Source organism: Homo sapiens, chromosome 5 (assembly GCF_000001405.40).
Source record: "Homo sapiens chromosome 5, GRCh38.p14 Primary Assembly".
NCBI classification, from domain to species: domain Eukaryota; kingdom Metazoa; phylum Chordata; class Mammalia; order Primates; family Hominidae; genus Homo; species Homo sapiens.
This window is the reverse complement of record NC_000005.10, coordinates 54615059-54633815: the sequence shown is the minus strand read 5'-3', so window position 1 is coordinate 54633815 and position 18757 is coordinate 54615059. Positions and strand designations below refer to the sequence as shown.

The following is an 18757-nucleotide window of genomic DNA, read 5'->3' as shown; positions in this document are numbered from 1 at the left end:
ACATGGCTTACTATCCCAGCACACAAAGTGAAATTTATGTTCAAGCTCCATTAAGCTCTCACTAAGCTGGAAGATCTTCCAAAAGTTCATTAGTGCAATGCAAAATGCATAGTAACAGGTAACATTTGTTGAGTATTTCTACCACACACTGTTACAGCACTTGTAAATGCATTATACACCTATAGTACCTATGAGGTATATAATATTATAACCATTTTTAGATGGAGAAACTGAGACACAGGGGTGTTAAGTAACTTGCCCAATGTCCTACAGCTACTAATATCAGCTTGTTACTGATACAATATGAACCTGGTTCCTGGAGTCCATTCCCTTGTGGGGTCCTATGTTTAACCCAGACAGAACCAGGCACACTTTTAGTTCCAGCTTCATTCAGTCACCCAACTCTATCCTTTTAAAATGCGGAAACCAAGACTCAGGATCTAAGTATGTTTGGGGAAGTGAGTGAATGTCTTATATTCCATTTATATCTTCTATGATGCCATCACCACCTGCTTGGGATACAAAACTCAAACTTCTCAGTCCTTTGCTCTTTCTATTTGCAGCTTGAGATACGATTTCACTGATCTAGGACAAAGGACTCACTTGAGGCATTTCTTAAACCATGCAAATTCTCAGTTTCTATCCTCCGATTCACGTTCACCAGGCAGGTCGAAAGAGGAGACCAGAAATCTGCCTTTTTAATGAGCAAACCAAATGATTCTGATATCAGAGAGATACTACCCTGGGCCGGGCGCAGTGGCTCACCTGTAATCCCAGCACTTTGGGAGGCCAAGGCGGGCAGATCACGAGGTCAAGAGATCGAGACCATCCTGGCCAACTTGGAGAAACCCCATCTCTACTAAAAATACAAAAATTAGCTGGGCATGGTGGCGGTTGCCTGTAATCCCAGCTACTCAGGAGGCCGAGGCAGGAGAATCACTTGAACCCCGGGAGGCAGAGGTTGCAGTAAGGCAAGGTTTCGCCACTGTACTCCAGCCTGGCGACAGAGCAAGACTCCATCTCAAAAAAAAATAAAAAAAATAAAAATTACTGCCCTGGGTTTAGAAGGATTGTTTCTTATCTGTGGCTTGGATAAATATAAAGAGTGTGTGTGTGAAGAAATCACAACAAATCCCCTCATCCCTCCCTGGCCTGGAGCAGACCTCGCTGGTAGTTGGAGCCCACAGCTCCCGGTGTGTGTCTAAGCCCCCTTCTCAGTGGTTTGGCTGGGCTTCTGGTAAAGACCACACCACAAAAAAGGAGCCGTGCAATGTCCTGCATGCAGCCTTCACTCAGCCTGCGTGTGTGCTGGGCTGGGGGTGTGGGAGACTGTGATTTGACTGTGTCCAGGCCACCATGGTGCACAGACAAGCTGGGACTCTGTTTGCAAGGCCCAGTTTCCATTCCTGCTGGTGCCAACAGCTCAATGTGGGCAGTCAAAACTCCAGATTCCTTCAGAAAGAGCCAGTTATCTGCTAGACTTCCTTTGTTTTTCAGGGCTCTGTCTTGGCATCTCTGCCAAGAACATGTTTTGGCTGGATCCACTCCCCTGGCGTCTGCACATCTCTGGGAAGCTATGCTAAGAAAGAAACATGGCCCAAGAGGTAGCAGGGGAGCCAGAGTTCTTGTCTGGTGAAACGCAGGACCCCACATGGGAAATGGGCTTCAGAGATCAGCTGCTTATGGGACCAGGAACCAGCATCTTCCCAAGACTGCTATGCACCCCTCAACCTTTTCGGAGATCAGACTGCTGGTGGGGGCAAGGACATGCCAGGCTTCTTGAAATCTCTGATGAACTCCTCTCTGTTCCCCAGTAGAAGAGGTGCAGGGGGTGGGAGTACAGTTCTCCTTGTCCCTGTTAAAGAAAGTCAATGTTTAGTGTAATCTGCTCTGGCCCAATTTGAGGTTTTGCAGTGGGGCTGAAACAGACTTCAGCATTCATTGACAAGGAATGGTTAAAGTGAATGTGGCCATTCTCCAATCACTTGTACGACATAATCATGTATGACTCTTCTGATCTCACATCTACTCAGAAAAGCCTTGCAAATAAGTGTAGGTACCATTTGAATTCCCATCCTTTAAGGTTCCTCCTCTTGACTTCTAGGGGATCCTTCAGCTAGTACTGATTGTCACCTGGTTTATTGAGATGTTTCATATATGATGATATCTTCCCAGTCTCCTCTTGAGAGGCAAAGAATATCTTTTTCAACTTTACATTTGCCATGGCACCCAGAATAGAGGCCTACATACAGTAGATGCTCAATAAAAGTCACGTGAATAACAGCTTGGTATAGAGGAGAATAAACTCGTCATGTGGACTATGATATCCAGCATTTATTTATTGACAGAAAGAGAGGTTAAAAGAAAAAGCATTACCAAATTGTTTTATTTGAAGCCTTTATAATGATATAAGCTAAACATCTGCTGAAACAATAGCCTTGTTTAAAAGTATGCATTTTTACTCTATGATAATTGATTATCCTTGCAACCATCCTGGATTTATTTTCCTACAAAAGAGCAGGATGTTGAGCATAGTTCTATGAAACATTCCTTTAGAGAGGATTTCTCAGCACTAAATAAAAGAGTGCCTTCTAAACATTGCAAAAGAAGTCCGGCTGTTAGTTTTGGCTGGGGACAAGCACTGAGCTGTCTCCAAATGGAGATGGCAGGATGATATAAATGTGGCTGTATTATGTCATTGAAATGGCCTTATTTTCATCAGAAGCTAAATTCAAATACCTTCAGGGACATGGGTTGTTATGGTTGGCTTTGAATTTCTACAGCTTTCTAAAATTCATTTTTGCCTCTGTAGGTGACGCAAGTTCAGTGAAGAGAGGCTTGAAAACCTGGGCTCCTCTGGGTGCCTGGAAATAGAGATCAACAGTGACTATGCAGTGGCAGATTTGCAGCCTGAGCTCTGCATCCTGCACCAGATGTTGGCTGGCATGTCTTTCCATGAGGTCTCTTTTTTTTTTTTTTTTTTTTTGACTGAGTCTTGCTCTGTCGCCCAGGCTGCAGTGCAGTGGCGATCTTGGCTCACTGCAACCTCTGCCTCCTGGATTCAAGCGGTTCTCCTGCCTCAGCCTCCAGAGTAACTGGGATTACAGGCACATGCCACCATGCCCGGCTAATTTTTGTAGTTTTACTAGAGACAGGGTTTCACCATGTTGGCCAGGCTGGTCTTGAACTCCTGACCTCAAGTGATCCACCCACCTTGGCTTCCCAAAGTGCTGGGATTACAAGCATGAGCCATGACACCTGGCTTCCATGAGGTCTTTAGTTCAAGGGCAAAAGAGTCAGAGGTTGTACTTCACTCTCAGTAGAATCAAGGGATCCAGACCAGAAGCAGCACTTTCGCCAAGATGGTGGGTCAGCTTTCAAAATGAGAAGATGCTCCAAGAGCAGTGAGGGTGCAGATACTCCAAGGGGTCTCCCTGCCTGTTTGCCTCCCCTGCCTGCATCTCTGCACATGCACACGCACACACACACACAGGTACACAAGTCTACTCCATTTCTCTCCCAAACCCAAAGCCATCCTGTGTAAGTAGTCCAAGACTTCCAACTTTGGAGAGAGAGCTGATCCAGACTCTTCCATCAATTTTCCCTACCATGTTCACAGAACAGGGACTAGGGGCACTGAGTACAACAGAGCTGGGGCACATTTGTCAATTGTTCACTGCAGAGGTGGGACCTGATGCAGTTATCAGAAGCTGGCAGGTGTTGTATAGACAATGGGTAAGTCGAGAGGAACCTGACACCAAACTCTCGGTTCAAATCCCATCACCGCCACTCATCTGACTCTGCAATCCTTTAAAGTGTTTAATATGATAAGAGCTCAATAAATATCAGCTAATTATTATTTCCTACTTGTTCTTAAGGGAAAATCTAATTTTCCTCCTATAATGCAAGGGTGGATTGATCTCTTAGCTGGGCATGATCTTGCCTGTTTATGCTCCCAGTTTCTAATCCTCTCTTTCAGTAATGGTCACATTTAAGCTACTCTTTTAGTTCTAATCTATAAGAAAGACGAGATATCCACAAACTCTTCCAGAGAAAGCCAAGCCTTCTGTAACTCAGATAACAACTTTGTACAAAGCACTGTGAAAGTTGCTGTGGAAAATACACAGTAAGTACTTAATCAATGTTTTAATTGAATTATTCGTTGGCTTCAGTAGGAAGGAGACTCACCAAGGTAAATGCAGCACCCTAGGCACAATGGTTATAATATTCACGCCATAGTAGACTTGACCTGCCTTAAAGCTTCAAACAGGGGTCAGAAATCCAACTATCCATCTGAGGTATTAAGTTATATGCTTGTTATCTATTCAGATTCATTTTAAACGCTTCTACAGTGAGGCATACTCTGCACAAACAATACCAGAATCTGAGTGCACAGAAAAGTGGAAACTGAAATGTGTATTTGCCTTTCAAAGTTGGGGCTAATGATGATGAAAAGTTTTGCATTTTGCCTGACAGCACTTGAACTCACTAACATATGTAAATGGTGGCTCCTCTCCACATTCAAGAAGCAGCTGCAGGACTGTGAGAACATGGACCTCAGTCCACTAATAGCTGTGATCATACCCTGATTGACTGGGACACTGAGGTGCAAGATATCAGGAGACTTTCCCGAGAGCCAGGATGCAAGTCTCAAGGAAAGACCTTTCAAGTGAGACAGTGTTTTCAATAATGCTTTGTGAGCAATAAAGAATGAAACAGCATTCTGGCAAATCACAGGCATTTAATAAGCAGCCACTCAGCCCCAGGGGCCATGTTGGACATTGTGGGTTGAAGATCTCCCGACCTTGAAGGACTTTCCGGTGTAGGGGACACAGGTGTGCTGAAGAAGTCTGTTCAAGTTCCAGCAGGGAGCCACCAATTCTGGAAAGGTGAAAACAAAGGGTTTTCTCGAGGGGGAGACACAGGAGTAGACTTGCATGGTTGAGAAGCTAGATGCTCATCAGAAGGACAGGCAGAAAGGAGGCTAAGGCCAAAGCTGCAGCACGGGTTAAAGTGCAGAGCCATGAGGCGGCCTGGTTAATCCAGAACATTGCAAGGTGTTTCCCAGGCCAGACTCCAGGAGCTAGGGGCTCAAGAGAGATGAGATAGGAAGATTGGGTGGAGGCCAAGTCATAGGCACTGTCCCTGCCAGGAAATGGATGATCAGATTTGTGTTTTCACCTTCCTGGGGGCAGCTGCCTGGAGAGGGGACTAGAGGTGGGGACACACCCCATTGTAATAGGTCAGATGACAGATGGTGACCAATGGACTGAGGTGGTGAGGTTCTGAGGGTGAAGAGGTGGGGGTGATGAAGGAGGCACTAAAGAGGCATAGACAGAATCCAGTCACTCTTCCAGCTGGGAGTGAAAGACGGAGGCCAGAGTGACAGCCAGGTCTCCAACTTGAATACTGGGGAGAATGGTGGTGCTACTCACTGAGAAGGGAAACCCAGGAGGGAGAAGAATAGTGCAGTGGGCTTGGAACAGCCTCTCTGCTTCATTTCTTGGATCTGGGTCACTGCAGATGACCTCTCAGACCTCACCTTTTGATTCAAAGTGGTTCCCTTTCACTGACCTTCCTGGTTAAGTGGCTTAGCTAATCATTAACTGCAGGAGGTGAAGCATAACATCCCAGTTCTACTTCCAAATGATTATCCTGCAGTAAAACCTAAAGACATCCTGGGCCTCAAGTGGAAGACACAGGTGCCTGCTCTCAGCACAGTGCCCAACTAATTTGTCTCTGGGTGTGTGTCAGGTCCTATTAAGTACCTGCCATCTTTTCCTGGTTGGGAAGTAGGACTTAATAGGGTCTCGCTGCAATGATAATTATACTGCCTATGAACCCAGATGTAGGCGTGGGTAATGGAAATCTGCAATAAGGCTCCAGGAGCTCAAGAACACCTGCACACATGTTGAAAAGTCTTTGCCAAATAGCCAATGGGTGTTTAGTTATGGGTTCTCATCCTTACAGGGCCTCCACTAGCCTCCACTGAAGGCAGGGCACCCTTATAGAGGGATGTAGTCCCCTAGGGAGCATGGCTTGGCCAGTGGTCAGGATCTTTGGTGAACTCAGCCCCAGGTCAAGCACACAGCTTGGAAATGGGAGCATGGGCTGGAATCTGCACCCCTGCCACTGGTCCCCCCACGTGCTCCCTCCTGCTTGACACAGCTTTAGCCACCATGTGAGGCAGCCCTGGGATCTTCAATAACAAACCTTAACCCTCCCAAGCCCTCAGACCCCAGGAGGGCCCCAACTTATGAACCTGTTTTTGAAGATTGGAGAATCTTTTATAACAAAGAACAGTGTAAAGAGTATTGAATACTCACTATGAGCTAGGCATTCCAGGGGAATATGCAAATGTGTATTAAATACGTGAATAAACAAATGAAATAACATGTTTCCATTAACAGCAATACTGGATGGGCCTCAAAACATATCCCCAGGAAAGGGTAAGAGGAAGCATTAGAGAAGCTAAACACCATCAGATCATGCAAAAATTAAATTTCCTGCTAATAGGAAGAGTACGATTATATTTTTCATTCCCAGTTTTTCCATTCAGATCTTAATGTCAGATTAAAATATTAATTGCTCTGCTTTTCAGCTACAACAAAAGTCCCTCATTGTTAAAATCAGGATGTAGATGTTAATTTTTATTTGTGAGCATGGTATAGAACTAGATCCCATCAAGGGGATCCTAAATCTTTTATTTTTCTTAGCACACCAGATCATCCTGAAATGGACATTGCTCTATGAGAACACAACAGACAGCATGAATGAATATATGTCAGAGGAATCCATCAGTGAACAGCTATTGAAAAACGTTAAGAACCCATTCTCTGTTGTGCCATCTTCCAAGCCTTAGGGCCCACCATATGAAGCAGAATGACAACAGATTCTCCTCCAAGCAACATGTTCTACATGCATGTTCAAGCTTGGACCTCTTTATATTACTAGTTAACCATAAACAAGTGAACACAACCTCCCACTGTAGTTTGCTATCTTACCCACAGATAATTTAGAGCTGCAGTTGTGAACCTTAGCACTACTGACATTTTGGACTGGAGAATTATTTGTTGTCAGGGCTGTTCTGCACATTTTAGGATGTGTAGAGGGTTACCTGGCCTCTACCTATTAGATGACGGTAGCACACTTCCTGCTCTGATGTGACAACCAAATATGTCTCTAGACATTGCAAAATTATCCCTGGTTGAGAAACACTAATTTCTGGTAAAATTACCTTCCAAACCAAAGTTCATCCAGACACAAACAGCCAGCTAAGCATCAGAAGCAAAGCAGAGAGCTGCTCTACCTGGTGTTACAATGAGACAAGGACTTAGGACAAGCGAACTGAAATTCTCTTTGCTGTGTGCAGTGGCTCATGCCTGTAATCCTAGCACTCTGGGAGCCAAGGTGGGAGGACCACTTGAGCCCAGGAGTTTGAGACCGGCCTAGGCAACATAACAAAACCCTGTCTTTCAAAAAAAAAGAAGAAGAAAAGAAATTATCTCATATTTAGGGTACAGAGTGAATAAATAGTTTACTACAATCCTAAGAAGTCATTTTTCTATCATCACTCCAATCACACCAAAGTTCTTGCTGATTCTTTTTTACTAGACAGAAATTTTTAAAAGGTAATGACATATCTTTATTATACTGTATCTGTATATCAGATGTCTTTCAGAAGTAAGTGAAATAAGCCCAGCTTAAGGTAGCTTAAGTTAGCTTAAGCCAAAAAGAGAAGTCTTTTTTATTGGATCATGCAACAGAAAAATCTAGGGATAGGCCTGGCTCTAGATATATCTGGATCAAGTTGTTCAAACAACGGCACTAGCAATATTTCATTTTCATCTTTTGGTCATATTTTCCTCTATGTTGCTCTTATTTTCAAGGTGCTTTTTCCAGATGGTGACAGAGTTGGCCACTGAGGCTCCATGCTTATATCATACAAACTGTAGTAAAAAGAGATTTCTTTCCCAAGAGTTTCAGCCAAAGTTCCAGGGTGAAGTCTCGTTGGCCAGGTTTGGATCATGTGCCTATCCATGAGCCAATGACTGCAGTCAGAGAAATGGAATATTCCAGATGATTTCCCCTAGACAGCCTCCAAGATGGCCTCCGTTGGTTCCTGTCTCCTAGTCTCCATGCCCTTGTGTACTCTTCTCTTCTGAGTATGGGCTGGACTCATTTCTAATAAATAGAATACAGCAAAAGCAATGGGATGCCACCCTCTGAGATTAGGTTACAAAAAGAGTGTGACTTCTGCCTTGCCCACCCTGTCTCTCTTTCCCTCAGAGCCTTCACTCTGAGGGAAGCCAGTTGCCATGTTGTGAACTACCCTTTGGAAAAATCCAAGTGGCACAAAACTGATAGCTGTGTCCAAGATCCAACAAGGACATAAGGGCTGCCAACAGCCATACGAGCGAGCTTAGAAGCAGATCTGCCTGCCTCTAGTTGAGTCTGGAGATGATTACAGCCCTGGCTGACAACTTGATTGCAGTCTTGTGACACATCTTGAAGCAAAGGTGTACAGCAAGGCCGGACCCGCAGAATTCTGACCCACAGAAGTTGTGAGATAGTGTTTGTTGTTTAATCCACTATGTTTTGGAGGTGATTTGTTATACACAATAGAAAATGAATACTACTGTCTCTTTCCCCCTTCCCCTCATACACACTATGGCCTGAGAATGGGGAAATCATAGCCCCAAGGGAATTCTGGTACTCGAAAACACATATTCATTATAACATCCCACTTAAGCTCTTTTAACTGAATATATAAGTTTCAAAATATAAAAGGAAATTGCTCACTCTTCTGACATCCTAGCCATGGAGGGAAAAAAATGTAAACTTTCATATGATTGCAACAGGAATAGATTTGTACCGACCTGGCTTCCAAGAAACTTTGCAAAACCACATTTTACGGGGTTTGGGGGACGCTGGCACAGCGCTGACAGCTGTTTACCCTCCATTCACTCCCTGAGACAGAAACTGCTGGAGACTGAGTTTGAGTGGAACTTTTCTATTGCTTTAGACCTGTCTGCTCTGGATGCCTAGCTTCCATCATTATATTAGCTTTGACATACTCTATTAAAAGGGATACTTTATTTCCCTTCCCGATTGAACAGGAAATTGAACAACCTAAGAAGCAGCTGAAATATCCATGAACCTTTTGCCACGGTATCATGAATGTGCAGTTCAATTTTGAAACGTTGGCTTTGCAGTCTTGATTAAAATCTGTCTTCCAAAATATCCCTGAAGTACTAAAATACGATACTTGTAAGTTCTGAATTGCTTCAGGTGCTCCAAGATATGTTACATGGAGGACTGCATTGTCCTGCTTTTGCTCACTTCTGTATCTTCATTTACTATACCTGGCTCATGGTAAATACATCAGGAAAAGTAAAATCCCTGTAAAATATCTGATCACTAGAAAGAGTGAAAGCCAAGTACTAAGGAGACTGTGGCTTGCTAATGAAAACCCCTGGAGCCCAAACCCCTGCTAACTGCCCATGATGAAAAGTCATAAAGTGGTGAGAACTTGAATACCAGGAGAATTCAACATCATGATACTATTACTAAGCACCATTGAGAATACATTATTTTGTGCAGTTACTGCATAGTGTGGTATATGATTGATACTATATAGTATGCAATTGATTGATTAAGTTATTTTTCCAGGCAGTTTGATCTCTTAAGATGCTGAATGGGACGTTGATGGATTCAGTCAGTATGTGCTTTCAGATAAATAGCTGCTCAATGCGCTACTGGATAGCTGTAATCCTTCCATAAACCTTGAGATTGTTAATAACTACATTTATTTATAATGAACTGAGCACACTTTAAAAGATATGCTTACTCGTAACTGAGGTTAAGTGAATTCTATTCTGTTTCTATACCTCAAAGTTGGAGAAAGTTCTACATGCTGAAGCCATAGGGAAGAGTGATGCATCTAATGAGCCTGCTGAAGAGTGAAGGCAATGAGAGTCCACCTGTTCAGTAAGAGGCTTGTCTTTCTTTACATATTTCTCCCTTCAAAAATGCCTAGACCATCACAATCTCACTAATGGCAATAGGACAGTATTTATCTAGCTCCAACCCATGCACCCCATGCATTTTGGGGAAGTCTAGCTCCCTCAAAATTATCCCAAGTAGTTACATAAGCTCCTGGGTAGATTAACCGAGTGTGGGAATGGAGAAGACTTGGCTGTGAATAGAGAACATCACTCCTCTGGTAAGTTCTTGTAGCTGTAATGTGGTACCTGTTAGTTCCCTCCCTTCTGCTTGGAGACTGCTACCTCTCTATGCTGGATCTAGGCTGGTCTGATCCATCCACCTTGCCCTGTTTCAGAGCCATGCAGCCCTCTGTGGCCTGTGCTCAGGCAGTCCCCACACTGAAGTGCTGCAATGCTGGGCTACACTGCCTCCTGCCATTGAGCTCTTGAAGACACTCGTGAAAAGGCTCCTGGCTCTTTGAGTTTTACTAGTTCATCTCCCTGGTGCTCTGGCACATGTTCTGGAGGATTCAGAAAAAGAGCAAAGCCTGAAAGCTCTAATTGAACTCTCTTCTCATGCTGCCTCCTATTCTCAAACCAAGTTTGTGCTAATGACTCTCTCTGCCCTCAGGGTGAGTCTTGCCACCCCTCTGGCCATCTGTCTTGGCCCTCAAACTTAGACACCCTCCAGTTCTCACGTAAGCAGATTATCACTACAGAGACTGAGCCCACAATCTAAAACATAATGTCATGTGTTTGAAAGGGGATCCAAAATGATTTTTATTGTATTTATAAGCACTATTGATATGAATGAAAGAACACTCAAGAAATGATTTGCATTAACTATGGAGTGTAAGAAAACTAATTAAAGAATTTGATATTTATTCTTTTCTGCTTCAAACATTTCTAACTTTGAAGTATTTTAGCTTGCAATGACAAACCAGAGTCTGAAATCAAACCACCACTTAGAGATTGTGTTAAATTCACCATGTCACTTAATCTTAGAGTCTCAGCTTCCTTGTTTGCAAAATGGGGATAACACCATCATTACGAATTGGCTTCTTGTTAACATTAGATAAATTAATAGATGTAAATAGACCACAGTACCTGGCACAGAATAAGCACCTGGCCAAGCTTTTAGCTAACAGGTGTGTGAATGTGTCAAGATTTCTTTATATTATATTTATATATTTATTTAATATATATACTTATATATATTTATATTTATTATATATTATGTTTATATTCTAATACAGATGTTTAAAAGCATTTGCAGAGCCCTACAGTGGTCAAAGCATTTATGAAAGGGCTAGTTGCTTTTTTTTTTTGAGACAGTGGCTTGCTCTGTAGCCCAGGCTGGAGTGCAGTGGAGTAATAATCATGGCTCACTGCAGCCTCAACCTCCTGGGCTCAAACGATCTTCCCACCTCAATCTCCCAAGTAGCTGGGACTACAGGTGCATGCCACCACACTCAGATAATTTTTGTATTTTTTGTAGAGATGGGATTTCACCTTGTTGCCCAGGTTGGTCTCGAACTCCTGGGCTCAAGTGATCCTCCGACCTTGGCCACCCAAAGTGCTGGGATTATTGGCGTGAGCCACCATGTCTGGCCCTGTTGCTGTTTTTCAAAACTGGCATCAAATCTTGGTTAAGGGTGGCATTTCTAACATTTTCCTCCTACTATGTAAATAGCAAAATATTCTCACAAATAAATAGCATCATTTTGTATAAACAGATTCCTAGTTTTCTTTGCAGCCAAAGGCAGCTCTCCTCGAATTCTTTTGAGAATGCTCTGGTTCGTCCCAGAATCAGCCCATGCTGAGTTTACTATTCAGACCGGATTATTACCAGGCAGTTGGAGCGGTCAAATTCCCACAGCCAATTTTCTATAAAAATCTCAAGTAATTGAAATGGGAGGAAGGTATCCAGTAAAAGTCAGGGTGAATAATTTAGCACAGTGGCTGTCTACAGCCTCTGAGACAACATATTCAGGGCGTTTTATTGGAGGGTTGACTAGGCTGCTTTTGTCTCCAGGGCATCCTGGCTTCAACCCACCCATCTCATCAAGAACAAGGAGTGTGGCTAAATGAGCAGCCAGAGGGGTCTATCTTTAACCCTTCTCTGATACCTGAGTGATCTGTGAATGCCCTTTCATTGCACTTTCTCGTTTTTCTGAATGTGAACAGTAACGTTGTTGTGCTTGATATCTTTCTAAAGGTCCCTGTTGAGAAACATCACCACTGGCTGCAGTGGTCACTAAACAGGGATGTTGTGTCTCCTCCCTGGCTCTGTAGATTCCTTGAAGGGGTAGACCTATCTGCTAGGGGAAGGGATAAGCTGTTGCTATTTTAGAAAACTAGCCTCAAATCTTAAGAATGACATTTCTAATTTTTCCTGCTACTAGAACAAAATTCTCACAAATAAGTGCCCTTTATCCCTGGTCAGGACTAGTCAGGACTTGGGGACACAAGTTGGCAAGAACCCAACTCAAATTTTACTAAATAGACTTAGTAAAAAGGGAGATTGTTGATTCACAATGCTGGCAAGAACGCAAAGTTACTCATAGGACTGAATGAAATGCTAGACTAGAATGAAGTTCTCTGAGTTAGCACCTGGAAATCAATAACCCAGGTCAGAGTGCCTGTGGCCAGAGGGTTAGAAGTGGACATCCAATACCAGAAAAAGGAGGTTAGTGTGATGAACAGTCACACCAGAATGAGAGACTTTGGGAGTTCCATGGGCTACTCTAATTCATACTCATAGCAACCATAAAGGATTTACTGGGGGTGTAAACCTTATCGCCAACTGTTATGGACTGAACTGTGTTCCCCTTCCTAACCCCTAATGTGAATGGATTTGGAGAAAGGACCTTTAAAGAGGTAATTAAGGTTAAATGAGGTAAAAGAGGAGTGGGGCCCTAATCCAATATGACTGCTGTTAAAAGAAGAGACACCAGCAATGCATGTGCACAGAGAAGAAAAACATGTGAGGACACAGTGAGGTGGCCACCTGCCAGCCAAGAGGGAAGACTCCCAAGAAACCAAGTTGGCCAACTCCTTGATCTTGGACTTCCAGCTTCCAGAGCTGTGAGAAATACATTTCTGTTAAGCCACCCAGTCTATGGTATTTTGTTATGGCTACTCTGCCCAACCAATGTACCAGCCAAATTCTAGTTCTTTTCCTGTCTGGCTCCTCCTCCACGGCAACGCCTCTGTTCTTGTGTCACCTCTCATTCTTATGTCAGATATTTTCTGTGGTCCCCTACAGATCTGCTGTCTGCCTGAAGGCAGGATGGGCTACATCAATGGGCTCCAATACTCTCTGCCTTCTGGCTGGGTTTGGCAAGTGGGAGGCCGTGCAGAGAAACAGAAGGAAGTTGACAGTGACCTCAGCATATTCACTCAACTGACACCTCTCTAACAGATTACCTCAGGCTGACTGCATCCCCCAGTTGAAGATGACATCTTCTCTCAAGGCAGCCTCCTCTATGTGACTCTCCTTCCAGGTTCTGGTAGCTGCTTCCTTCCCCAAAGCTCCAGACCCAGGGATGACAGCAGCTCTGCTGATATTTGCCCTGGGATAATGCACCATCTCTTATGCCTCCTGTATGTCCACAGCTCCACAAGGAGTCACTCTGTAAATAAACCCTTGCAAAATCATGCCAGTTTGCCTGTGACATCTGCTTCCTTAACTGACAGAGCTCTTTATAAAACAGAGGTGAAAAACTGAAGGACAAAACCATTGTTAAAGGAAAGTAGAATCCCAGGACCCCAAACTCACTATGCCAGAGAAAGTTAAGCTTGGCAAATGAGTCACATAAAAACCGCCTTCCGTTTGTTCCCAAACAAATAGCTGTAATTTCACATGCTTACTTTAGCTGATGTAAAATGTAGATTTACTGGGCCCCAGATGAATGCATAATTGACTTTTCTCTACTCATGTGTAAAATGTAGATTTACCAAGCACTAACCAGAACCTCACAAGAATGTAACCACTTGCCTTGTTGCTTACTTTTTTCTCTTCCCTCCTGCTTGCTCTTTCCCTTTTAAATACCAAAGTTCCCAAAACTCTCTTTGGAAAAAGCACAGGTCACAAATTCTACTATGAGCTGTGTTTGTTTTTCCTGGGTGCTTTCTCAGCCTTGGCAAAATAAACTTCTAATTCATTGAGATCTGCCTCAGTCACTTTTTGGTTTGCACTTTCTTCTCCTCTCCACCTAGAAAAAGAATCATAGATAGTGTATTCAAAGTGTATTGTGCCCTAACGCATAAAGTACACGTCAAATGAGAGGTTTTTACGTTTGTACGACTGATTTTTGAGACAGGGTCTTGCTCTGTCACCCAGGCTGGAGTGCAGTGATGTGATCAAAATTCAAGGCAGCCTCGACCTCCCCTGGCTCAGGCAATTCTCCCACCTCAGCCTCCCGAGTAGTTGGGACTACAGGCATGCATCATCATGCTCGGCTAATTTTTGTATTTTTTGTAGAGATGGGGTTTTGCTATGTTGCCCAGGCAGGTCTCAAACTCCTGAGCTCAAGCAATCCACCTACCTCAGCTTCCCAAAGTGCTGGGATTATAGGCGTGAGCCACTGTGCCTGGCCTTTGTTGTTTTTTTAATGCACCATCTGTCATCTGAAATTGCTAACTTAAACAATAACTTTTATTTTCTTTGGAGCGGGGGCCTTCCTTTCACCTCTGCTTTCTGATTATACTTATATCTTAGAATCTTTGACACCACAGTGTCAGTGTCAGCTTATTAATGGAAACCTGTCTATGCCTAATTATTTTTACTGCTCAATATTACTACCTACACCATGGTCAGCAATTTCATATGGTTTGTTTTGTTTTGCTTTTTTAGAGTTAAAAAGGTTTCCTTTTTTTTTCTACTTTTCAGATATTAAACTCGAATTTATTATGCTTATGCTTTGCTTATAGAACAGGGGGTATAAAACTTGTCTCCTTTATTAACTACGGAGATGTATATCTTTTTACTTATTGATTTTTTTTAGCACACACTTTAAATTATAACTGAGTTGTCCTGTCTGGTGTATTTTAATCCTAAAAGCTTCCATATGGAGATGTTAATTTAGTCTTCCAGGAAGCAATACAAAGTTTAAACATTTGGGGTTCCCTTTCCTTTTGCCAGTAACCTCAACCCCTTCTCTCACCAGTTTCATTTAGTAACTTTCTACTCCAAAGGAAAACTGCACATTTATTTAACATCTACTCTAACATCGCATGTTATTTTATTTCATTCTCACAGGAATGCTATGAGGCAGATCTAATGATCCCATTTTTGTAGCCAAGGAGACAGGCTAGAAGTGGTCTAGCATGACACAACTGGAAAGTGGTGAAGGATGGCAAGGTCTAAGTGAACCCAAAGACCATGACCTGGGACTCTGCTGGGATTTGATCTGCTTATTTCTACCTTTGTGAAACTTCACCTTACTCTGGAATACTAACTCTGTATATTGGTCCATTCTCACACTGCTATAAAGGACTGCCCAAGCCTGGGTCATTTGTAAAAGACAGAGGTTTAATTGACTCACAGTTTCGCATGGCCTGGGAGGCCTCAAGAAACTTACAATCATAGCAGAAGGGGAAGCAAACACATCCTTCTTCACATGGCGGCAGGCGAGAGAAGTGCCAAGCAAAGGGGGAAAAGCCTTGCAAAACCATCAGATCTCATGAGAACTCACTATCATGAGAACAGCAGCATGTGGGTAATGGCCCCTGTGATTCAATTACCTCCTACTGGGTCCCTCCCATGACATGTGGGGATTATGGAAACTACAATTCAAGATGAGATTTGGATGGGGACACAACCAAACTATGTCACCCTGGAATGCTGTTCCCCTTCCTCCATCATAATCCTCGCATCCCCCAATTTAGACCTTACCTCTTCCAGCATTTTCTCCATGGTTGACCTTACCCAAAGATAGGACTATTAACAGATTAGTCAATGGAGAATGAGCATGGTGGCTAATTCCTGTAATCCCAGCACTTGGAGAGGCCGAGGCAGGAGGAATTGCTTGAAGCCAGGAGTTGGAGACCAGGCTGGGCAACATAGCGAGACATCTGTCTCTATTTTAAAAAAAAGAAAAAGAGAGAGGGGAAAAAAGAGAGATTCATCAACAGAGACATGAACAAATCCTTTCCAGAACTTCACTCAGTGCTATAATTATCTTCTTTGTGGTGTATCTCCTAATCTACAACTTGTGTTTCTTGAGGGTCAAAACCATATTTTCTGTCTCTTTAGCACGCCTCTCTCCATCCCTCCCACAGTCTATTTCAATTCTCTGTTGAACACAGGACATCTTTAGTAATGCCACTGACAGACAAGGAGAATCTGAAAACTGAAAATTTTGAGAAGTTTTACTTGGGAGGGGGAAGTACACCATTTCTACCTTGCTTTCTAAGGAAATATTTTCTATAGAGTAGTAAAAAGCATGTTTTCACTTGTTGTTTTCCTGTGGAACCAAACAGGAGCTATAAGAACTACTAGTGGACAGGTTTATTTGCACTCAATATTCTGTTCTGTTCTGTTCTGCTATGCTTTTATGAATTTTAAAGGCAAGGAATTGTTCAGGTCAGGAATTCATCTGTCAAAATGCTTTATGCTGGAGCCCATGGAAAGGAGAGGCCTTGCGGCTTCACTGGTGAATTAACTGAGAGTTGGAACACTGCTGGTGTGTTTTGCTTTACCACTGACTTTCTTTGAAGGGGCCTTTGACGAAGTTGTTTACTCTCATTCATTGCCTCAGTGTTTATATCTCAAAATCAAGAGACCTCCTTCATGTCGAAGGAACTAGGGGAAGAAAGTTAAGTCTGTGACTCAGAGATAAAAACCAGCTTGATGTGATTGCAGGGGCCCTGGAGAGACTTCCCTGTCCCCAAATATCTCCCATTGGCTTGTCCCAGCACAGGAAAAGAAACCCCACAGTTACCTTGCATCTGAGTTTAGGCAGTGAGCACCTGGTTAAAACACAGGCAAGTTATGAAGGGAGATCTGACATTGTGTTTGCTTTTATTCTAAGATGCACATTTTTTTTTTCTTTTTTGAGATGGAGTCTTGCTCTGTCATCCAGGCTGGAGTGCAGTGGCATGATCTTGGCTTACTGCCATATCGGCCTCCTGGATTCAAGAGATTCTCGTGCCTCAGCCTCCCTAGTAGCTGAGATTACAGGCGCCTGCCACTTCGCCTGGCTAATTTTTTGTATTTTTAGTAGACACAGGGTTTCACCATATTGGCCAGTCTCGAACTCCTGACCTCAGGTGATCCACCTGCCTCAGCCACCCAAAGTGATGGGATTACAGGTGTGAGCCACCGTGCCTGGCCAAGATGCACATTTCTTTAATCTTTTAATACTTTTGAAATTGGGATGTGGTTTTACAATCAGAGTGAATAGTTAATGTAATAATGCATAGTCTATTTCTCCTGAAGAAGTAAGTTGTTATTAAATAGATAAGAACCACCTGGAAAATAGGGAAGCAGTATGGACACACTCCAGTGAGTGGGTGTTGAAAACTGACCCGAGCCAGATAGGTCATGTGCGGATGATTGCAACCTAGGAGTTGTTAAGTCAGAACTGCTAGCTATTCTTCTCCACAAATGTTACACAATCATGAACAAAGCAAGCCACTGGCCAAATTCTGCTGCATACACAGACGCTTGTTAACTAAATATTTGTTAGTGAGCAAGCAAAAAAGTGGTTCATATAATCTTCCTTGCAAAGTTCTCTAAGACAATTTCTGGGATTCCAGAGGCAGAATAATGCTGCCAGTTTAGCCAGCATTGAGCAACCAGAATCTCCCACAGTTTATGGCTAGGCCCAAGACCAGGTAAAGGCATCATTCTAAGAGTGCTGGATATTTTATTCATGCAAGAGTGGAGAGTCTCTAAGCTCTTTTAACTAGTCTACTTATCTTTATATTCACCAAACAGATCCCATTTCTAACTTTCATCATGTTAATCAACATGCCACTAATTTCACCTGTAAGAAACAATTCTGACATGAACTGTGCTAATTGGCAAAGCACCTGTTATTGAAGATACAAATAACATGTGCTTTGTCTGAGGATCATGCACATTTTTTTCCTCCAGAGCTACCCTATTAACTGAAGGATTGTGCACTCTTGTAGAGTCTAGAAACATTTGGTTAAAGCCCAAACTAGGTGGCATACCCAAGATAGGCACTGTATTTTCAGAAGCATTTAAAAATCTTAAGATGCATCAGACTGAAACACACATTGTGATACAATGCAAAGATATCGCTAAGAGAAATAGGCAGTGGGGTTTGAGAGCATGAAAGCAGTGACTAAGTCTGTCTATCAGACTGGGAAGTGAGGGGGCAAGGGTAGAACATCCTTACAGAGGAGATGACCCAAGCTGGATTTTTAAAAGAGAGTAGGAATGCATGAGGCAGACTTGGGGTACACCCAGCAAAGGGAAGCAGTAGGGGCACAAGCCCAGAGGATGAGAAGCTAGTCTAGGGTGGGTAGACTACAGGCATGTGAGAGAGGAGACAGGCTAGAATTGTAGCTGGGAACTAGACAGAACCTTCTAGATCATGCTCAAGAATTTTCTCTTTACCTGGTAGACATCTGGAAGTCGAGAGACAAAAATATTTTACCTACTACAATTTTGGCTTGGAACATGAATGATCGTATTGTTAGACCAAAATGGATCCCACAAGGGTCAGGCTTCCTCCCAGACCTCTCTAACTGAAGCTCCAGAGCCCTGAACATCCCCTCCATCTATAATGTTTTTT

The 18757-nt window shown here is 43.1% G+C and overlaps 1 protein-coding gene across 2 annotated transcripts in view; it reads right to left on the bottom strand.

The window, feature by feature from the left end:
* Positions 1–18757, bottom strand: part of SNX18 (sorting nexin 18) — a 130247-nt gene that overhangs the window by 14190 nt on the left and 97300 nt on the right. The window contains exon 3 of one of the 2 annotated variants that reach the window (XR_007058577.1): positions 15886–16070. The gene's annotated coding sequence lies outside the window, so the exon portion shown is untranslated. Of the gene's footprint in view, positions 1–15501; positions 16071–18757 lie in introns of those variants that run through there. The other variant, XR_001741987.2, reaches the window with a different exon arrangement.